At 43.3% G+C, this 17393-nt stretch overlaps 1 protein-coding gene across 6 annotated transcripts in view; it reads left to right on the forward strand.

Annotated features, from left to right (window-relative positions):
• Positions 1 to 17393, forward strand: part of LARS2 (leucyl-tRNA synthetase 2, mitochondrial) — a 160832-nt gene that overhangs the window by 137346 nt on the left and 6093 nt on the right. For 2 of the 6 annotated variants that reach the window (NM_015340.4, NM_001368263.1), the window contains one exon: positions 15908 to 16035. The exons of 2 other annotated variants lie outside the window; for them this stretch is intronic. In NM_015340.4, the coding sequence (NP_056155.1) occupies positions 15908 to 16035 (128 nt within the window). Of the gene's footprint in view, positions 1 to 12421; positions 13875 to 15907; positions 16036 to 17393 lie in introns of those variants that run through there. 2 more of the 6 variants (XM_011533554.3, XM_047447829.1) reach the window with 1 other exon arrangement.

Genomic DNA, 17393 nt, shown 5'->3' on the forward strand with positions numbered 1-17393 from the left:
CAGATGCCTCTTTCATAGGGGTTGCAATTTTAAGTGACAATGAGGTAGTGCAACTGATTTAAAGTAGGAGGGGAAAGAGAGAGGAGGAGGAGAAGGCAATTATAAGGACTTCATGAGTTGAGCAAGATTTTAAACGTAAAGACGAAGGAGGTGAGGAAAGATGGGAAAAACTGAAATGTGTTTTCAGTGGATCTACAGGGGAGACAGTTTTTAAGTTTCTCACATTTTGAATCTTTAAGGGAGACAATTTTTGAGTCCGATTTATGTTAGAAACCTCTTTATACAATTAAAGAAATCATACCATTGGATAATCAGAATTGTTTTATCCTTTTTGTTCTAAGGAACCTCTCAAATGAACAATTTTGTTCCTATCAAAAGTTCCCCAAAGGGATCACTGTCATTCCAAATTGTCTTTGGAAATTTGTGGCACTTAAAAAGATATGCACAGGAGTTAGGGCTGTAATTAGAAAACATAAAGAAAGCCTGTGCTTGTGGTGGAGGAGGCAGTTTTAGATTGAAAAGACCAAGACATGAGCCGCAACATATCCATGGGTTGCTGCTTGTGGAATTTTGCATCTTGGTGCTTGATCAAAGTCAAGTCATCATTGATCAGGAGCCAGACAAAGCCTCCTGCTTATCGGTAGACAAAACTAACATAAAAGCAGTTCTCAGGAACACAAGAACAAGACTGAGGGAGAAGTCATTATGAGATTTTGCAATGGTGACTCGGGCACAGCGTGTCTCCAAGAAGTAACTGACTGACCACTTTACCACTTCACCCTTAGGGCTAGCTCAAGGACAAATTTATGGGACCTATTCCCATCCTCTCCCAGTGGACAAACAACATTCAAGATAGTACACAAGCAGATAGATAGGGCATTAGGCCAGCAGATGTTAGTTACTAGAAAACATTTTCACCAAAGAACAATAGAATTCTGATCAAAAAACCAAATGTCCAAAATGGGACCTATTCTTAAGAAAATAAGATAAATGCAACAGTAAAATCTTCAGTGAAATCCTGGAGTTCAATTCAGCATGAACGTAGTTCCCAGCCAAGGGTGAGTGGCACCTCATCCAGGTAGAGACACAAGTGGGTCTCAGATGCATGCACTGTTTCTGAGTCAAAGGTTCCAGTCAAAGGTAGTGAGAGTCTCAGTTGAAATTCCATGAACCTGCAATTCTATCAGCATCCTCCAGCCAGAGACCACCAGGAACACACCTTCAGATAACAATTTGGGTTTATTACCGGGGGAAACACTGGGCATCTCAGAGGGTGCTAGGAAGGACCTGTTATATAATGAATTTGGGCTTTGGTAGAATAATTTGGGGAAGGGTCTCAGGAAGTGAGGATTTGCTCTGGATTGAGTGCTGTCAGTAAGTGGGGACAGTTTTGTGATTGGGTATCTTAAGAAATCTTATCTTGCCGGGCGCGGTGGCTCACGCCTGTAATCCCAACACTTTGGGAGGCCGAGGCAGGTGGATCATGAGGTCAAGAGATCGAGACCATCCTGGCCAACATGGTGAAACCCCGTCTCTACTAAATATACAAAAAATTAGCCTGGCATGGTGGCGGGCACCTGTAGTCCCAGCTACTCGAGAGGCTGAGGCAGGAGAATGGCATGAACCCAGGAGGTGGAGCTTGCAGTGAGCCGAGATCACACCACTGCACTCCAGCCTGGGCGACAGAGCGAGACTCCGTCTCAAAAAAAAAAAAAAGAAATCTTATCTTTAGGGAGATACACCTGAGCAAGGATAAAGTTGTAATTAGTAAAGAAATAGCAGTCCCTCATATCTGCCTAGAGAAGGGGATGTTTGATATTTTGTGTGTTTCACAGTGACCTTGTCTTTGTGCTTTGACAAAATTATGACATGGTCTTGTTTTGGTCTCCTTTTATGTTTTCAGTGTGACTGTCTGATGTTGGTGTTCAGTGAGATCATTTGTGTTGAACAGGAGAATAATATGGCCTAGCTATGCACAACTGGTGAATTTCTTATAACACTGAGGCCTAGCTATAATTGTCAGACCAGTTCCCAGATGATAAGGACTGAGAATAAAAATCCCCTAACCATCACCCTCTAGAAATAAACAGCCACCATCAGCATCTTAGCGCAGATCATTGCAGTGGATATGGTGGCTGGGTGCAGTGGCTCACGCTTGTAATCCCAGCACTTTGGAAGGCCCAGGCAGGAGGATCACTTGAGCCCAAGAGTTCAAGACCAGCTTGGGCAACATAGGGAGACCCCATCTCTACAAAAAATTTTAAAATTATCTGGATGTGGTGGCATGTGTCTGTAGGCTCAGCTACTCGGGAGGCTGAGGTGGGAGGATCACTTGAGCCCAGGAGTTCACGGCTGCAGTGAGCCATAATCATGCCACTGTACTCCAGCCTGGCTGACAGAGCAAGAGCCTGTCTCACAAAACATAGAAAAAGTAAAATGATTGTGTTCACTTACCTATGTGTATTGTATTTTGTGTCCACTTGTCTGTGTTGTGTTGTGTTTTGTCATGTCTCTTTATAAAATTTAAATACCCTAAAATTTACCCATTTTAAGTATATACTCAGTGTTTTAAGTAAATTTATATACTTGTGCACCCATCACCATGATCAGTTTTAGAACTGGATTTCCATTACTGAAAAAAGGTTCCCCACACCATTAGTCAATCCCACACCCACTCCAACCCCCAGCATGACTAATCTTTCTGTCTCTGTAGTTTTGCCTTTTCCAGAAATGTTATATAAATGAAATCATACAATGTGTAGTCATTTCTGTTTTATTTCATTTAGCATAATGCTTTTGAGATTAATCCATGTTCTGTTTATAGTAGTTCATTCCCTTTTATTGATGACTTGTTTTATTGTTAAGCGAGAGGTCATCTTATAACCTGATTTACTCACTTAAATATTCCATGAACATATATTTATGGGCCATTAAATACTTTTCTACAACATCTTTTTTTTTTTTTGGAGATGGAGTCTCACTCTGTTGCCTAGGCTGGAATGCAGTAGTACAATCTCCACTCACTGCAACTTCCCCTCCCAGGTTCAAGAGATTCTCCTGCCTCAGCCTCCCAAGTAGCTGGGATTACAGGCACCTGCCACCACGCCTGGCTAATTTTTGTATTTTTGGTAGAGACAGGGTTTCACCGTGTTGCCAGTCTGGTCTCAAAACTTCTGACCTCAGGGGATCTGCCTGCCTCGGCCTCCCAAAGTGCTGGGATTGCAGATGTGAGTCACCGCGCCCGGCCTACAACATCATTTTTAATGGTCATACAGTTTTCCATTGTTTGAATTTACGCACTCCCTATCATTGAACATTCAAACTGTTTATAGTTATACATTATTTTTTTAAAAGCTAAGTAGCCGCCGGGCACGGTAGCTCACACCTGTAATTTCAGCACTTTGGGAGGCTGAGGTGGGCTGATCACCTGAGGTCGGGAGTTCGAGACCAGCCGTCAGGCTCTACTAAAAATACAAAATTAGCCGGGCGTGGTGGCGCATGCCTGTAATCCCAGCTACTCAGGAGGCTGAGGCAGGAGAATCGCTTGAACCCAGGAGGCAGAGGTTGCGGTGGGCTGAGATTGCGCCATTGCACTCCATCCTGGGCAATGAGAGCGAAACTCCATCTCCAAAAAAAAAAAAAAAATGCTAAATAGCTAATGTTTACGTGCAAAATTATTTCCTAAGAACACATAACTAACTGTAATTGCTTGGTCAGAAGAGATACAAAAGATTAAGGCTTTTGATGCACACTCTCAAATCAAATTCCAGAAATTCTCTGGGTCTTCTGTGAATATGCCTGAACAGAAACATGAGCAGATATTATGATTCCAGATGTTAAATATGGACTTTTCAATCCCTTTGTGATAAACCCATTCTGCAAACTGGAGTAGCCCAACCTGGGCCCATCCCATGTCTTTGAAATCCTGAGTGATTGCTCACACCTTTGCAGCTGTGAGGATGGGTAACAGGGGCCCATACACCTGGGCCCAGAGCGAGGAGATATGTCTTAGAGGAGCTCAAGCAGCAGGCTGTGGTGGTGGTGTCAGCATCAGAGCCCTAGTGCATCCTGTCTGGACAGACTTCAGAGAGTCAGTCAAAACACGACTTCAGAGAGTCAGTCAGAACACAGAGCAACAGTTTGACCATCTTTGCTTTACACTGGGCTTAGGTCGGTTTCTCAGGTTAGCAAAAAATTAAATTCTCAGTATTTCCAGTTTAACAATATGATATTTAAGAATATGATATTTGGAGTTTTTTGTTTGTTTGCTTGTTTGTTTTTGTTTTTTTAACATATAAACTTTTAAAATAACCACATTAGGCTGGGCGCTGTGGCTCACGCCTGTAATCCCAGCACTATGGGAGGCCGAGGCGGGCGGATCATGAGGTCAAAGATCAAGACCATCTTGGCCAACATGGTGAAACCCCATCTCTATTAAAAATACAAAAATTAGCTGGGCATGGTGGCATGTGCCTGTGAAGTCACATACTCAGGAGGCTGAGGCAGGAGAGTTGCTTGAACCCGGGAGCTAGAGGTAGCAGTGAGCCAAGATCGCACCACTACGCTCCCACCTGGTGACAGAGCAAGACTCCGTCTCAAAAAAAAAACTGCATTAATTGTCCATGTGTGCCATGACTTAGTGTGTCTAACATTTCACTCCCATAAACAATCCACCATGGACAATTCTGTGCATAAATCTTGTTCTCACTTCATATTATTTCCTTGAAGTGGAAAAGATATGAATCTATTTAAGACTCTTGATATATATTAACAAATTATTTTCCTAAGAAGTTATTCCATCTTCCACTCTAGGATCTGTTTTTGAATTGTACATTGTGCTTCAATGATTTAACTATTGCATTTTTACAGACAGTTTTAACACCTGGCAGACTAGCCTTTCTTCATTTCTTTTCTTATAATTATTTTACCTCTTCTCACCTGTTTATTTTTCTCAGCAAAACTCTGCATAATTTGTTAAGTTTCCCCAAAATCACCATGACATTTCAATTGAAATGTGGTTAAACTTAGAATTAATTCAGGAAGGTTTCACATCTTTACCTCATCCAAACTTTCATCCTAGCTCATGGTCTGTCTCAAGTATTTTCTTTTCTTTTGTGTTCTTGTAGAATAGAATCTCTTTCTGCTATATTTTCTGACTGATAATGGCTGGCATATTTTTCTTCTGTAAAACCACATTGACACCAACATTTGTTTTATTTCAGTTAAGATTTATTGTGAGTTGATAGTCTTCTTAATGTTGTCAAATAAAGGTTAATACCATGGAAATCTGATCAGTTAAGAAAAATATATGTAGACTGATAAAAAACTATAAGAAAGAATTAATCTATTAATCTAATAGATTAATCCAAGTAACATGAATCCTCTGGAATATATGAGGAAAATAACTCATTATTTTCTTAGTATAATTGATTTTTTAAATCTTTTAAATTTTTTTAAATTTATTTTTATTTTTTGAGGCAGGGTCTCACTCTGTTGTCCAGGCTGGAGTACAGAGGCACAATCTGGGCTTATTGCAGCCTTGACCTCCTGGGCTCAAGCAGACCTCGTGCCTCAGCCTCCCAAGTAGCTGGGACTGTAAGCACATGCCCCTACGCCCGGCTAATTTTTGTATTTTTTCTTTTTATAGAGATGGTGTCTCACTGTGTTGCCCAGGCTAGTCCTGAGCTCCTGGGCTCAAGCAGTCCTCCCTCCTTGGCCTCCCAAAGTGCTGGGATTATAGGCATGAGCCACTGCACCCAGCCTACTGTCCTTTTAAAAAGATGTAATTGAGAAAAATTGCATATATTTATGGTGTACAATGTGTTGTTTTGATATATGTACACATTGTGGAATGATTAAACCAAGGTAATTAGCATATCCATCACCTCACACATATCATTTGTTGTGATGGGAATGTTAAAAATCTACTCTCTTAGCAATTTTCTACTAAATAATGCATTGCTATTAACTGTAGTCACCAGGATGCACAGTAGATCTCCAGAACTTATTCCAATGGCATATAATTTTTTAAATTTTTATTTGCATATTTGTTTTCTATCCTAATTCCCTACTGATCTTACTTTAACAGGTAAAATCCTCTTAGATTTTCTAGGATTCTATGATCAGCAAATAAGGATGTTTTCTTCTTCTAATAGTTATGCCATGGTGTCTGATTATTTTCTTTATTATACTTTTTAGAAAACCCTATGCAGTGTTAAAGAATGCTGGCTACAGGCAGTCAGGTCTTATTTCCAGATATAAATGCAACAAACGCTTCCCTGGTTAGATGTGATGTTGGCTGTTGGTTTGGGATGGATAGTCTCTGTCATGTTAAGGAAGCAGCCTTCTGGTTTTGTTTATCAGCACTCATATTAGGAATGGGAGTTATATTTTACTTAATGCCTATTGTCCAGTTGTTGAGGTGATGTATTATTTGCTTTTAATTTTCCCTTTTGCCCTTTAGATATGATTTATGTTCAGTTAATTGATTGCCTAATATTGAGATATCCTCAGATAAATTCATATTGACCATGTCATGGTAGACTTAATATACCATTAAATTCTGTTTGGGAAAAAAAATCTATTTGCAAAAAAATCTATTTGCTGGGGTTATATAGAATTTTGCAGTTATTTTACTAAGACTAGCTTTTTCTCAATATGCATTGTTAGGTTAGTGAAAGAGGGTTTCACTGACTTCACAGAGGGAATGAGTTGCCTCTGTCTTTTTTTATTTTTTTTGAGACAGAGTCACACTGTGTCGCCCAGGCTGGAGTGCGGTGGTGCCACCTCAGCTCACTGCAACTTCCGCCTCCCGGGTTCAAGCAGTTCTTGTGCCTTAGCCTCCTGAGCAGCTGGGATTACAGGCACGTGCCACCATGCCCGGCTAATTTTTGTGTTTTTAGTAGAGACGAGGTTTTGCCATGTTGGCCAGGCTGGTCTCAAACTCCTGACTTCAGGTGGTCCGCCCACCTCAGCCTCCCAAAGTGCTGGGATTACAGGTGTGAACCACAGCGCCCGGCCACCTCTTTTTACTGTGTTACAGCAGACTTCAGGACAAGATCTTAACTTGTTCCTTGCTGAATAGACAGACACCCTTAAGGGAGGGAGGTATTAGGCCCTGACAAGCTGCAGCCATATTATATTATATTTTGCAGACTTTTATTATCTTCTTAAGCAGGAAACATGGCTCTTTCATTTAGCTTTGGTGGTCACATTAAGTCTTTTTTTTTTTTTTTTTTTTTTTTTTTGAGATGGAGTCTTGCTCTGTCGCCCAGGCTGGAGTGCAGTGGCGCGATCTCGGCTCACTGCAAGCTCCGCCTCCCGGGTTCACACCATTTGCCTGCATCAGCCTCCTGAGTAGCTGGGACTACAGGCCCCCGCCACCATACCCAGCTAATTTTTTGTATTTTTAGTAGAGACGGGGTTTCACCATGTTGGTCAGGATGGTCTCGATCTGACTTCGTGATCCGCCCGCCTCGGCCTACCAAATTGCTGGGATTACAGGCGTGAGCCACTGCGCCGGCCCCACATTAAGTCTTTTAAGTAGCCTGCTGTTAATTCTGTCGTAGTCTTTTCTATAAAACAATACTGATCCAATTTGTGATAAACTCACCCACTCTCATCGCAGAATATATATTTCGCCCGTTCATCTTCCTTCTTTGGCCCACTTTATCTGTCTACCTCCTTCATTTTGTTTCTCCCAGGAAGGACTGATGTAAATGGGATTTTCAGAAACTCCCTCCAGCATGCCCCTCTCTGCATCTGGAATACAGGGGTCAGAGGATCTACTCTGTCTAGGGTCCTTCCTCTCCCTGGCAGGTCTTATGGTAGTGTACACTGTGGTTTGCCTCTATCAGTCTGTCCTTCATTTCTGTGACCAGATCTCCAACAGGACATGTTCTAAAGAAGTGTGGTAGAAACTAGCCCATTTCAAACTTTGCACCGTGATTTTTCTACACGTCACCCCACTGGGGCTTTTGTGATCAGTTTTATAATAAAGAGTGGATCTAGATTGAACCTTAGTTTTGCTACAGTGTTTCATTCAGTCATTCCATAAACATTTATTGAGCGTGTACTATGTGTCAGGCAGTGTTCTAGGCATTTGTAGGAAAGCGGGAGAGAGCAGTTGGAGCAGTGGACATTGTGTTCATTTCAGTTGCAGTCCTCCCTGAAGTTTTACAGATCTATAGCAACTCATTTTTTTTCAGTTCAAAGAAGCAGTGGGAAACCTATGTCTCCTGCTCTCCCCCATGAGATGTGTATTGTTTTTTCCTGAATGAGCAGCTGGGGACATAGCCCAGGCAAGTGAGGAGTCGTATGTACCAGGAATGTCCCCCTAGGTCATTACTCATGGGTATTAGGTGCCCCCAGGAGAGAATGGGGAAATGATGCCTCCTGCCTCTCCCAGCATCTGAGGAGGGTTAATGTAACAGAGTGTTGAAAGTCCTTTGCAGACAGAAGCACTATATTGTGATAGGGCCTTAATATTGTCTTCTCAGACTGTCAAGTCATTCCTGTCCCAAGGATCTGGGACAGCTTTTATGCATATTTCATTTTTTCTAAAACACTTACCTTTCATATACCTTCAGTTTTATTCCTGCATCTTAGAAAGATAACTCCAGAATGACTAAAGAAAACATGGTCCACCAAGGTGGCATGTCAGAAATGACCATTCCTAGAGTTCCCCTGAGAGGCTGATTTTCAAAGAAGTTCTCCCCAAAGAGCAACAGAATTGAGATCTATATCTTAAGGGAGATGTGAAGTCCTCTTGGCATAATGGCCATTATTGCCCTGGATAAAAAGCAAACATTTTAGAGACGCCGAAAGTACTTAGAACCTAACAGTCCTCTATCAATTGCTTAAAGAGTAAACAGAGACCTTTTATAAGAAACAGACCCAGCGTCTTGGCAGTTTGCAAACAGGATGAGGAAATCTTTTTTTCCTTCCTGAAGCTTCGGATCTGAGAAGCTAAAGACACCACATCTGAATTCACAAAGTTTCTTTTGTTTACCATAATATTGTCCTATCTAGATGAGGGTGGTAGCTGCTTGCCTAGGGAAATTTTGAGTATTTGGAGCCACTGACACTGTTTCTAGACAAAAGACTCAAGGGTTCCTTTGCTGGTCAACAGTAAAAGAGCAGAAAATCATCTAACAGGCACACTGGCTCACTCTTGTAATCCCAGCACTTTGGGAGGCCGAGGCAGACAGATCACCTGAGGTCAGGAGACCAACCTGGCCAACATGGTAAAACTCTGTCTCTACTAAAAAAATACAAAAACTTAGCCAGGCGTGGTGGCACATGCCTATAATCCCAGCTACTCAGGATGGGCTGGGGCAGAAGAATCGCTTGAACCTGGGAGGTGGAGGTTGCAGTGAGCTGAGATTGTGCCACTGCACTCCTGCCTGGGCGACAGAGTGAGAATCTGTCTCAATTAAAAAAAAAAAGAAAAGAAAAGAAAAGAAAGAAAGAAAGAAAATCACCAAACAGCGAGCTCCTTGGTGGTGCTCGTGTTGGAGACGTAATTTCACCATCCTGAAAAATGACCCAACAGGCAACAGCTTGGATGGATCTTAGGGGAATATGCTGATTGAAAGAAGCTAATCACTAAAGCAATCTACCATATTATTCCATTTATATAACAGTCCTGAGATAACACAATTGTAGAGATGGAGAACATATTCATGGTTGCCATGGGTTAGGAGTTGTGGGTGGTGGCCATAAAAGAGTGGCGCTAGGGAGCCTTGTGATGATGGAACTCTTCTGGCTCTTGGCTGTGTTAACTGATGGTGGTTACATGAAACTACACATGGTTATGCTAAGTTACACACACACACACACACACACCCCCACACCCACATACACACACATTAGTTATTAAACTGATGGAATCCAAATAAGCTCTGTGGATTGCATTCATGTCAACTTCCTGGTTTTGATATTGTGATATAATCATGCCAGCTGTGACCATTGGAGGAGGCTGGGTGAAGGGTGCACAGGACCTCACATAGGACCTCCTGAACATTTCTTTGTAACTTCCTGTGAATCTATAATTATTGCAGAATAAAGGATTTTTTAAATTGCCTTTCTAAACTCATAAGTCTTGAGTGTTGAGATTCTAATTCTGGAAAATAATATAGACTATGAGAGGAAGGAAGGGAGGAAGGAATTTATTTCCAATTGAAAGTTTTATTTTTTATTTTTATTTGTTTATTTTTTGAGACAGGGTCTCACTCTGTTGCCCAGGCCTGAGTGCAGTGGCATGATCACAGCTCACTGCAACCTCAACCTCTCAGGCTCAGGTGATCCTCCCGCCTCAGCCTCCTGAGGAGCTGGGACGTAGGCATGCACCACCACATCTGGCTAATTTTTTATTTTTTTGTAGAGACTAGGGCCTAGGCTAGTCTTGAACTCCTGGGCTTAAGTGATACCTCCACCTCAGCCTCTCAAAGTGCTAGGATTATAGGCGTGAGCCACCACACCTGGTCTGAAGAAGGTTTTAACACCTACACATACACACACACCTAACCAGATCCAACCATTCATCTTACTACTGTCTGAGGCAGGCATTCCTCCTGCTGTGTGTGGCAGAGTACGTGGAATGTGCCTGCAGGAGCACTCGGAGCCCTGGCTGGCCTGTCCTCAGGGCACTGCTCCTGGGGAGTGAACTCACTTCTGTATGTGCCCAGCTTCGGGAGAAAAGTGCCTACAACCATCTGCAGAAAATCTGTCCAGTTTCCAGTGTGCCTCTCTGGGCTTCTTGAAGCAAAGCGAAACCTAATTTTTAAATTGAAAAGCATGTCTATACGTGTTTTGTAAAGCATTCAACGTTACAAGAGAGTGTGTCCTAAGCTGTCACTCAGTTGCTTCCCAGAGAACCTTTGTCACCAATGCTATGTTTAATCTGACAGAAGCATGTGGTGGATGGATGTGACATGTCTACCTTTATAGAGATGTTAACATCCTATACAAACATTTTTTGCTCTTACTGTTCTTTAGAGTAGTTCTGTATCAACACTATTCCATTCTTTTTTTAACAGAGATAGGGTGTCCTAACCAGTGAATGTAGTGATGGGCATTTGGGTGATGGTCCTTCTTTTGCTCTGTGTGTGTGTGTGTGTGTGTGTGTGTGTGTCTTTGTCTTTGTGTGCCTCTTTGAGATTAGTCCCTTGTCCAAAATATGTTATTTAAAATAAGTAAGATCTCCTTAACATTTCTGTTTCTCTGGCCATTTTTATAGTTCTGTGTGACTTTTCCTTCTCAATATTTGCCTCTGGTGTGTGACTCGTGATCTCCAAGTAATCCATCAGCACCTTAATTTTGAGAGCACAGTGAGAGAGCCTTTACGTCCCTTAGGGATTCTGAAGGAATTCTCCCTCTTGAGGTCTCAGTCCACAAATCTATTTTTCTTCATAAAATAATTTGGGATGACTTTCTTTGTAGCTTTTTATAAAAAGTGGTTGTGAAATGTAGCTATTGTGTTTTGCTGTCTTTACACTGTACTCATTAACTTCAACAAAATTATAAACGTAAAAATCATGTAAAAGTATGTGTGATAATTACAGGGGAGAATAAGATACCCACTGATGCTCTGATAGTTTTTTATACATGAATGTGTGTGCTGTGTAGATGTTGCTGTTTCAAAATACTGTCAATGAAATTATTTCTCTGTGTAAAGGATAAAGCAAAGTGGCCTCCTTCCTATTCACTTCCTTGGAATTGCCAAGGCTACATGAGGCATAGCAGGGATCGGACGCCGCAGAGTCCCTGACTCTTCCCCCCTGGTGTGTCTATGAGTGCAGGGGTGAGGAGATGAGGTGGAGGCAGGCCTGAAGATGGCCACCAGGAGAGGACTGCCATCCACAGAAGCCATGATCACTCTGGGGTGCCATGGTGACATGGTGACCTCACCACCTCTCAGTGGGAAGAGGAGGCTTGTTTCGGTTATTCTGCAGGAAAGTCTGCAATAGTAGCTCTCTCAGAGGAGGGGAAGGAAGGGGGTGGGCTGTGGGCCATAGCCGACCTTGTCAGGTAGGCTTGTGTGCCAGGGCCTTGCCACTTCCCAGCCTGTGTTTAGACTGTGTGTCCTGAAGGCCAGCTCTCCACCTGACCTCTCCCCTTGGCATTACCACATAAAGGAATCATTGTATTTTCCACGCAAGTGTTAGGTATTCTTACTTCCCTAAAATGAGCAAGGAGGCGAAAACGCTACATAAAAACCAGGGTCCTGAGTTTCTGTTCCTCACTGCTGAACAGGATGGCCCCACTCCCATCTATATGGAAATGTTGGCAGGGGCCCAGGCTACTATAAATAAGCATCCTGACTGCTCCAGGAAGGCTGGGCTTCCTCATTTTTTTTAAAGTGGAATTTGTAACAGCTTCTGCCCAGAACATTTGTGTCCAAGGTCCTTTCATCTCCCAGGCATCCTGTACAACTGCCATACGGAGGTTTTGGAAATCTTCCCGCTGCAGCTGGGTCACAGGACAAGCCACACAGGACCAGCTCACTAAAAGAAGTGATGATCTCTCTTCTGTGACCTCCGTCTCATATTCAGATGTGAGTTTTAATAGGATTCCATCTGAGGAACAAGCAGGAATCTTCTTTCTCCTTCTGCCAAAAGGCACATCTGTTAGACACAGAATAGGTTCATTAGCAAGCGCAAAAGCCCCGGGCCACAGGAACCATCTGGGCAGCAGGAATCTGTCTTTCATACCACATGATCCTCAGCTCCTAAGGAGTCTTCACTTCCCTCAGGCTGACTGGCAACACAGGGTTACAGCAAGAGTGCCAGGTAGTAAAACATGGAAAGCTACAACAAATAAGGCTATGGCACTGGCACAAGAACCAAGACAGGTCAACAGAACAGAATGGACTGATGGACAGTGCAAGTCAGAGCGGTCGGTGGAACTCTCAGTTCCAGTCCACAACAAGATAAGGAGCTTGTGCTAGCTCCTAAGTCAGCTGTGTCACCGAGGACACCGCTGAGTTAGGCTACCATTTTTTTTCCCTCTCAATGAAGGAGGTGATGTGTTGATTTACATTCTGGCCCAAGTTATTTACCTTATGGCAAACAGGCACTTTGAGTAGCTCAGAAGTGAACAGTTTTTGAAACAGTCCCTGGTATAATACTTGAAAGAAAAATCACAAACCAATAGGGAAGGGAAGATATATTCAACAAATTGGGTTTGGAAAGTTGACCATGTTATTTTTTTTTAAATAATGTTTTTTCACAGTAAACACAAAAGAAATTACTAATAGATTTGAAAGTTAAATGGAGAAGAAAATGAAATCATGAAAAGAACCTAAAAGAAAAATCTTAAACTGATCTCACAGGACGAAAAAATGTTAAATATTTTTTCAAATTAAAAAAGTAATAAAATATCCCTTGTAGAAAATCTGTAACATAGTCTTTAAAAAAGAAAGAGAAGGCTGGGCACAGTGGCTTATGCCTGTAATCCCAGCACTTTGGGAGGCTGAGGCAGGCGGATCGCTTGAGGCCAGGAGTTTGAGACCAGCCTGGCCAACATGGTAAAACCCTGTCTCTACTAAAAATACAAAAATTAGCCAGGCGTGGTGGTGCACACCTATAGTCTCAGCTACTCAGGAGGCTGAGGCACAAGAATCGCTTGAACCTGGGAGGCAGAGGTTGCAGTGAGCCAAGATCTTACCACTGCACTCCAGCCTGGATGACAGAGTGAGACTCTGTCTCAAAAAAAGAAACAAAGAGAAATTACCCATACTTCTACTCCCCAGAGATACTACTTTGATTTATTTACTACCAATGTTATTACTATTTTATTGCAACTGATATTATTACTATTTCCTTCCAATCTGTTCATATAAAATTTTTATTAAACTAGGGTCCTATTATATATATAATTGTGTGTCATTCTTTGCCATGAAATTAAATATCATTTTAAAACATGGGAAAAAAGAACATACAAAACTGTATTTACAGCATGATCTTGTGGTGGTGGTGGTGTTTTGTAGAGTTGCTTTATATATACAAATAGTTATTAAATACATTAAATTACTATATTTTAAAATAAGTTTAAAATGCTATCTGGGGTTGGGTGCGGTGGCTCACGCCTGTAATCCCAGTGCTTCGGGTGCATCACCTGAGATCAGGAGTTCGAGACCAACCTGGCCAACATGATGAAACCCCATCTCTACTAAAAATACAAAAAATTAGCCAGGCATGGTGGCAGGCGCCTGTAACCCCAGCTACTCAGGAGGCTGAGGCAGGAGAATCGCTTGAACCTGGGAGGCAGAGGTTGCAGTGAGCCAAGATCGCGCCACTGCACTCCAGCCTGGATGACAGAGTGAGACTCTGTCTCAAAAAAAAAAGTTAAAAATGCTATCTGGCTGAACGTGACTTTTATTTTTATATTTTGGGCCTTTCCAAATTTTCTGCAAGGAGTGTGTACACTACATTTGTCATCAAGGAAGATAAAACAAAAAGTTGTCATTCACAACCCAGTGTTATTGGGGCTGGTTTTGGTGGAATTGACTCCCTCTGTCACAAACTCAGCTTCAGCCCATACCCTGAGCCATAGACCTATCCCTCTAATGCATTGTACTAGTCTCAGGGCTAATAACAAGGGAGAGGTGTCAAAGGGCCAGTTCCACCTCCACCACCAGTGGAAAAGCTATTCCCAGGTGAGGACTGCAGCTGCCAGGGCACTGCTCCAGAATGGGCATGCTGGCCATATTCACTTGCCCACTTCTGCCCAGGGATCTATTTTTCTGTGGTGTGTATTCCCTGTGCCTTTGGGGGCATCTCTTATACTCATGAAATCAACAGAGGCTTGCATGTATCTATCTGTCTATCTATCTATCTATCTATCTATCTATCTATCTATCTATCTATCTATCTATCTATGAGACAGGGTCTTGCTCTGTCACCCAGATTGGACTGCAGTGGGGGAATCATAGCTCACTACAGCCTCAAACTCCTGGGCTCAAGCAGTCCTCCTGCCTCAGCCTCCCAAGTACCTGGGATTATAGGCATGAGCCACCATGTCCGGCTAATTTTTTTTTTTAAGAGATGGGGTCTCGCTGTGTTCCCCAGCCTTGTCTTAAACTCCTGGCCTCAAGTGATCCTCCCATCTCAGCCTTCCAAAGTGCTGAGATTACAGCAGAGGCTTTTAAGTCAAAGCTTTCCCTGCTAGGACAAGCCCTAGTTAAAGTCCTGGAGCACTGGCCACTGCAGCTGCACTTGGACAGCTGGCCCTCTGCTACCCTTAGTGCCACCTCTTCTTGGGGGCTGCGGCACGAAGCACTCTGGGAAACGGGGCTTGAGAGGGTTTCATTCCTCAGTGTTTCCTCGTGTTTGGCCCACCCTGAGCCAAGGAAAGCTCCTTCCATTCCACTAAACGGAGGGCTCCTCTCCCGAGAGGAAGTTTGCAGGAAGGTTAGGATCCCCCTGCACGTGGTGAGGAGTGTCCTGCCGTTCACTGCATCCTGGCTCCAGTAATTGTGAGTAAAAGAACAGGTTGGGAGGCATTCTCAGACCATAGAATGCATAGGCAAGATAGGTAGCGAATGCTGCTCAGTACTTTGGAATCAGCTCTCAGGGTAGCACAAAGGCATTCCTTCACCAGCAGAACTTCAGAGAGATGACCCATTCAAATCAGCAGCCTTGTTTTTCCAAATGCACACTTTAGAATGGCTTATCCATCCATCTTTACAGCTCTGCGTGCCATTTGTGAAAAACAAAAGCTACCCAACAACCTGGGATTATAAACCAGGCCAAAGTGGTGAGCACCCAGCAGCCATGGTCTGGCTTCCCACCGGCTCCTCACACAGCTCCAAGCCAGGCTGTGTTGGGATGGAAGCTTTGGTCCTGCTCTCATAAGCCTCCCTGTTCTTAGAGTGACCCCACGCTTCTGTGCCTCGGCATTGCAGGCCTGGCGCTGGTGCCGAGGAAGCTCTGTGCCCACTACACTTGGGATGCCAGTGTGCTGCTCCAGGCATGGCCTGCTGTGGACCCGGAGTTCCTGCAGCAGCCTGAGGTTGTCCAGATGGCAGTTCTGGTAAGTATCTCCCCTCAACCCCAGAACCCAGCAGTCCCTGCCCTGCTGGTGGCCCCTAAATACTGTGGTGGTTTTGAGAGGTCTATTAGCAGGCCTTTCTAGCTCACTCAGCTCAGCCCTCAGCCACACCTTGTGACCGGAAGGCACAAAGGCCTGTCTTTCCTTTGCCAGTACCCTCAGTTTTGTAGGTCACCACACACCAGAAGCATGTGAGCATAAAACTCTCATGGCCCTCAAGTGCTTGGAAAGGGGAGTAATAAACCTGGCCCGCCTTACAGGTTCTCGTTATCTTCCTTTCCAACTGTGGACCGTGTTTCAGTCACTCTCAATTTCACTCGTATGCTCCTGGGGACTTTTGGGGGCTGGGGAAGGGTGACAGTGAGGTGGGTGGCTATGGAGTAATACCTGTAAAACATATTTCAGAAAGGCTCCATAATTTTTACTTGAAAATTAGGTGATTTTAAATACATAAGAGGAGTTTATCGTTTAAACCCTTTCTAAGAGCAAGTAACCCCCTTATAGTTTATCCTATATGTGATTTTTCTACATTTGTTTAATTTGTTAAATGAGACACATTTATGGTGAATATCTCTTAAATATGCTGATGTGTCTGAAGAAAAAAAGAGGACAGGGAGTAGACTTGGAACCACATGTCTCCCCGGAACCACACATGGGGCCAGGTAATTCACATTCAAAATTGTCATTTCACTCTTATCACCCTATAACGTGGGCGTTGCCATTCTCATTTTTTCAGTTGAGGAGACTCAGCCTCAGTGAAGTTGGTCCACCTTGCCCAGGTTTATTCACAAATGCTTAGCAAGTCTGACTCTACATCAGGCATAGTGCTCTGGGGATACAAAATCAAGATAGGACAGACAGGTTCCCTGCCCTCATGGAGCTTAAAGCATAGTGGAAGAGATAGGGAAGAATAAAAAGGAAAGAGTAAGATAAATAAAATGGCTGCAAATTGTGAAAAGTGCCCTGAACAAACCCACCTAGGGGCTGAGGGAGGGCATAACCCCACAGAGGTTGGCCAGCCAGGCCCTGGCCCCTCTGCACCTGTGCAGACCCAAGGCCCAGCAGGAAGCTGGAGGTTTGGAAAGACAATATTTTGCCCAGGAGACCGGGCTCCTTCACAGCCCCTTTGTCTCTGCACCAACTCCCCTGGCACTGTGTTCTCTGCCACCCCACCCCAAGGGAAGAGGATGTGAGGGTGCCCTGGCAGGCTTCTTCCAAAAATCTTCAAAACCAAAACCAACCATCCTTGTGGCATGGAGGAAATTTCTTTTCTTTCTTTATTGTTATTATTATTAAAACCATCCTTGTGGCATGGAGGAAATTTCTTTTTTTATGATTAT

Source organism: Homo sapiens, chromosome 3 (assembly GCF_000001405.40).
Source record: "Homo sapiens chromosome 3, GRCh38.p14 Primary Assembly".
In the NCBI taxonomy this organism is placed as follows: Eukaryota; Metazoa; Chordata; class Mammalia; order Primates; family Hominidae; genus Homo; species Homo sapiens.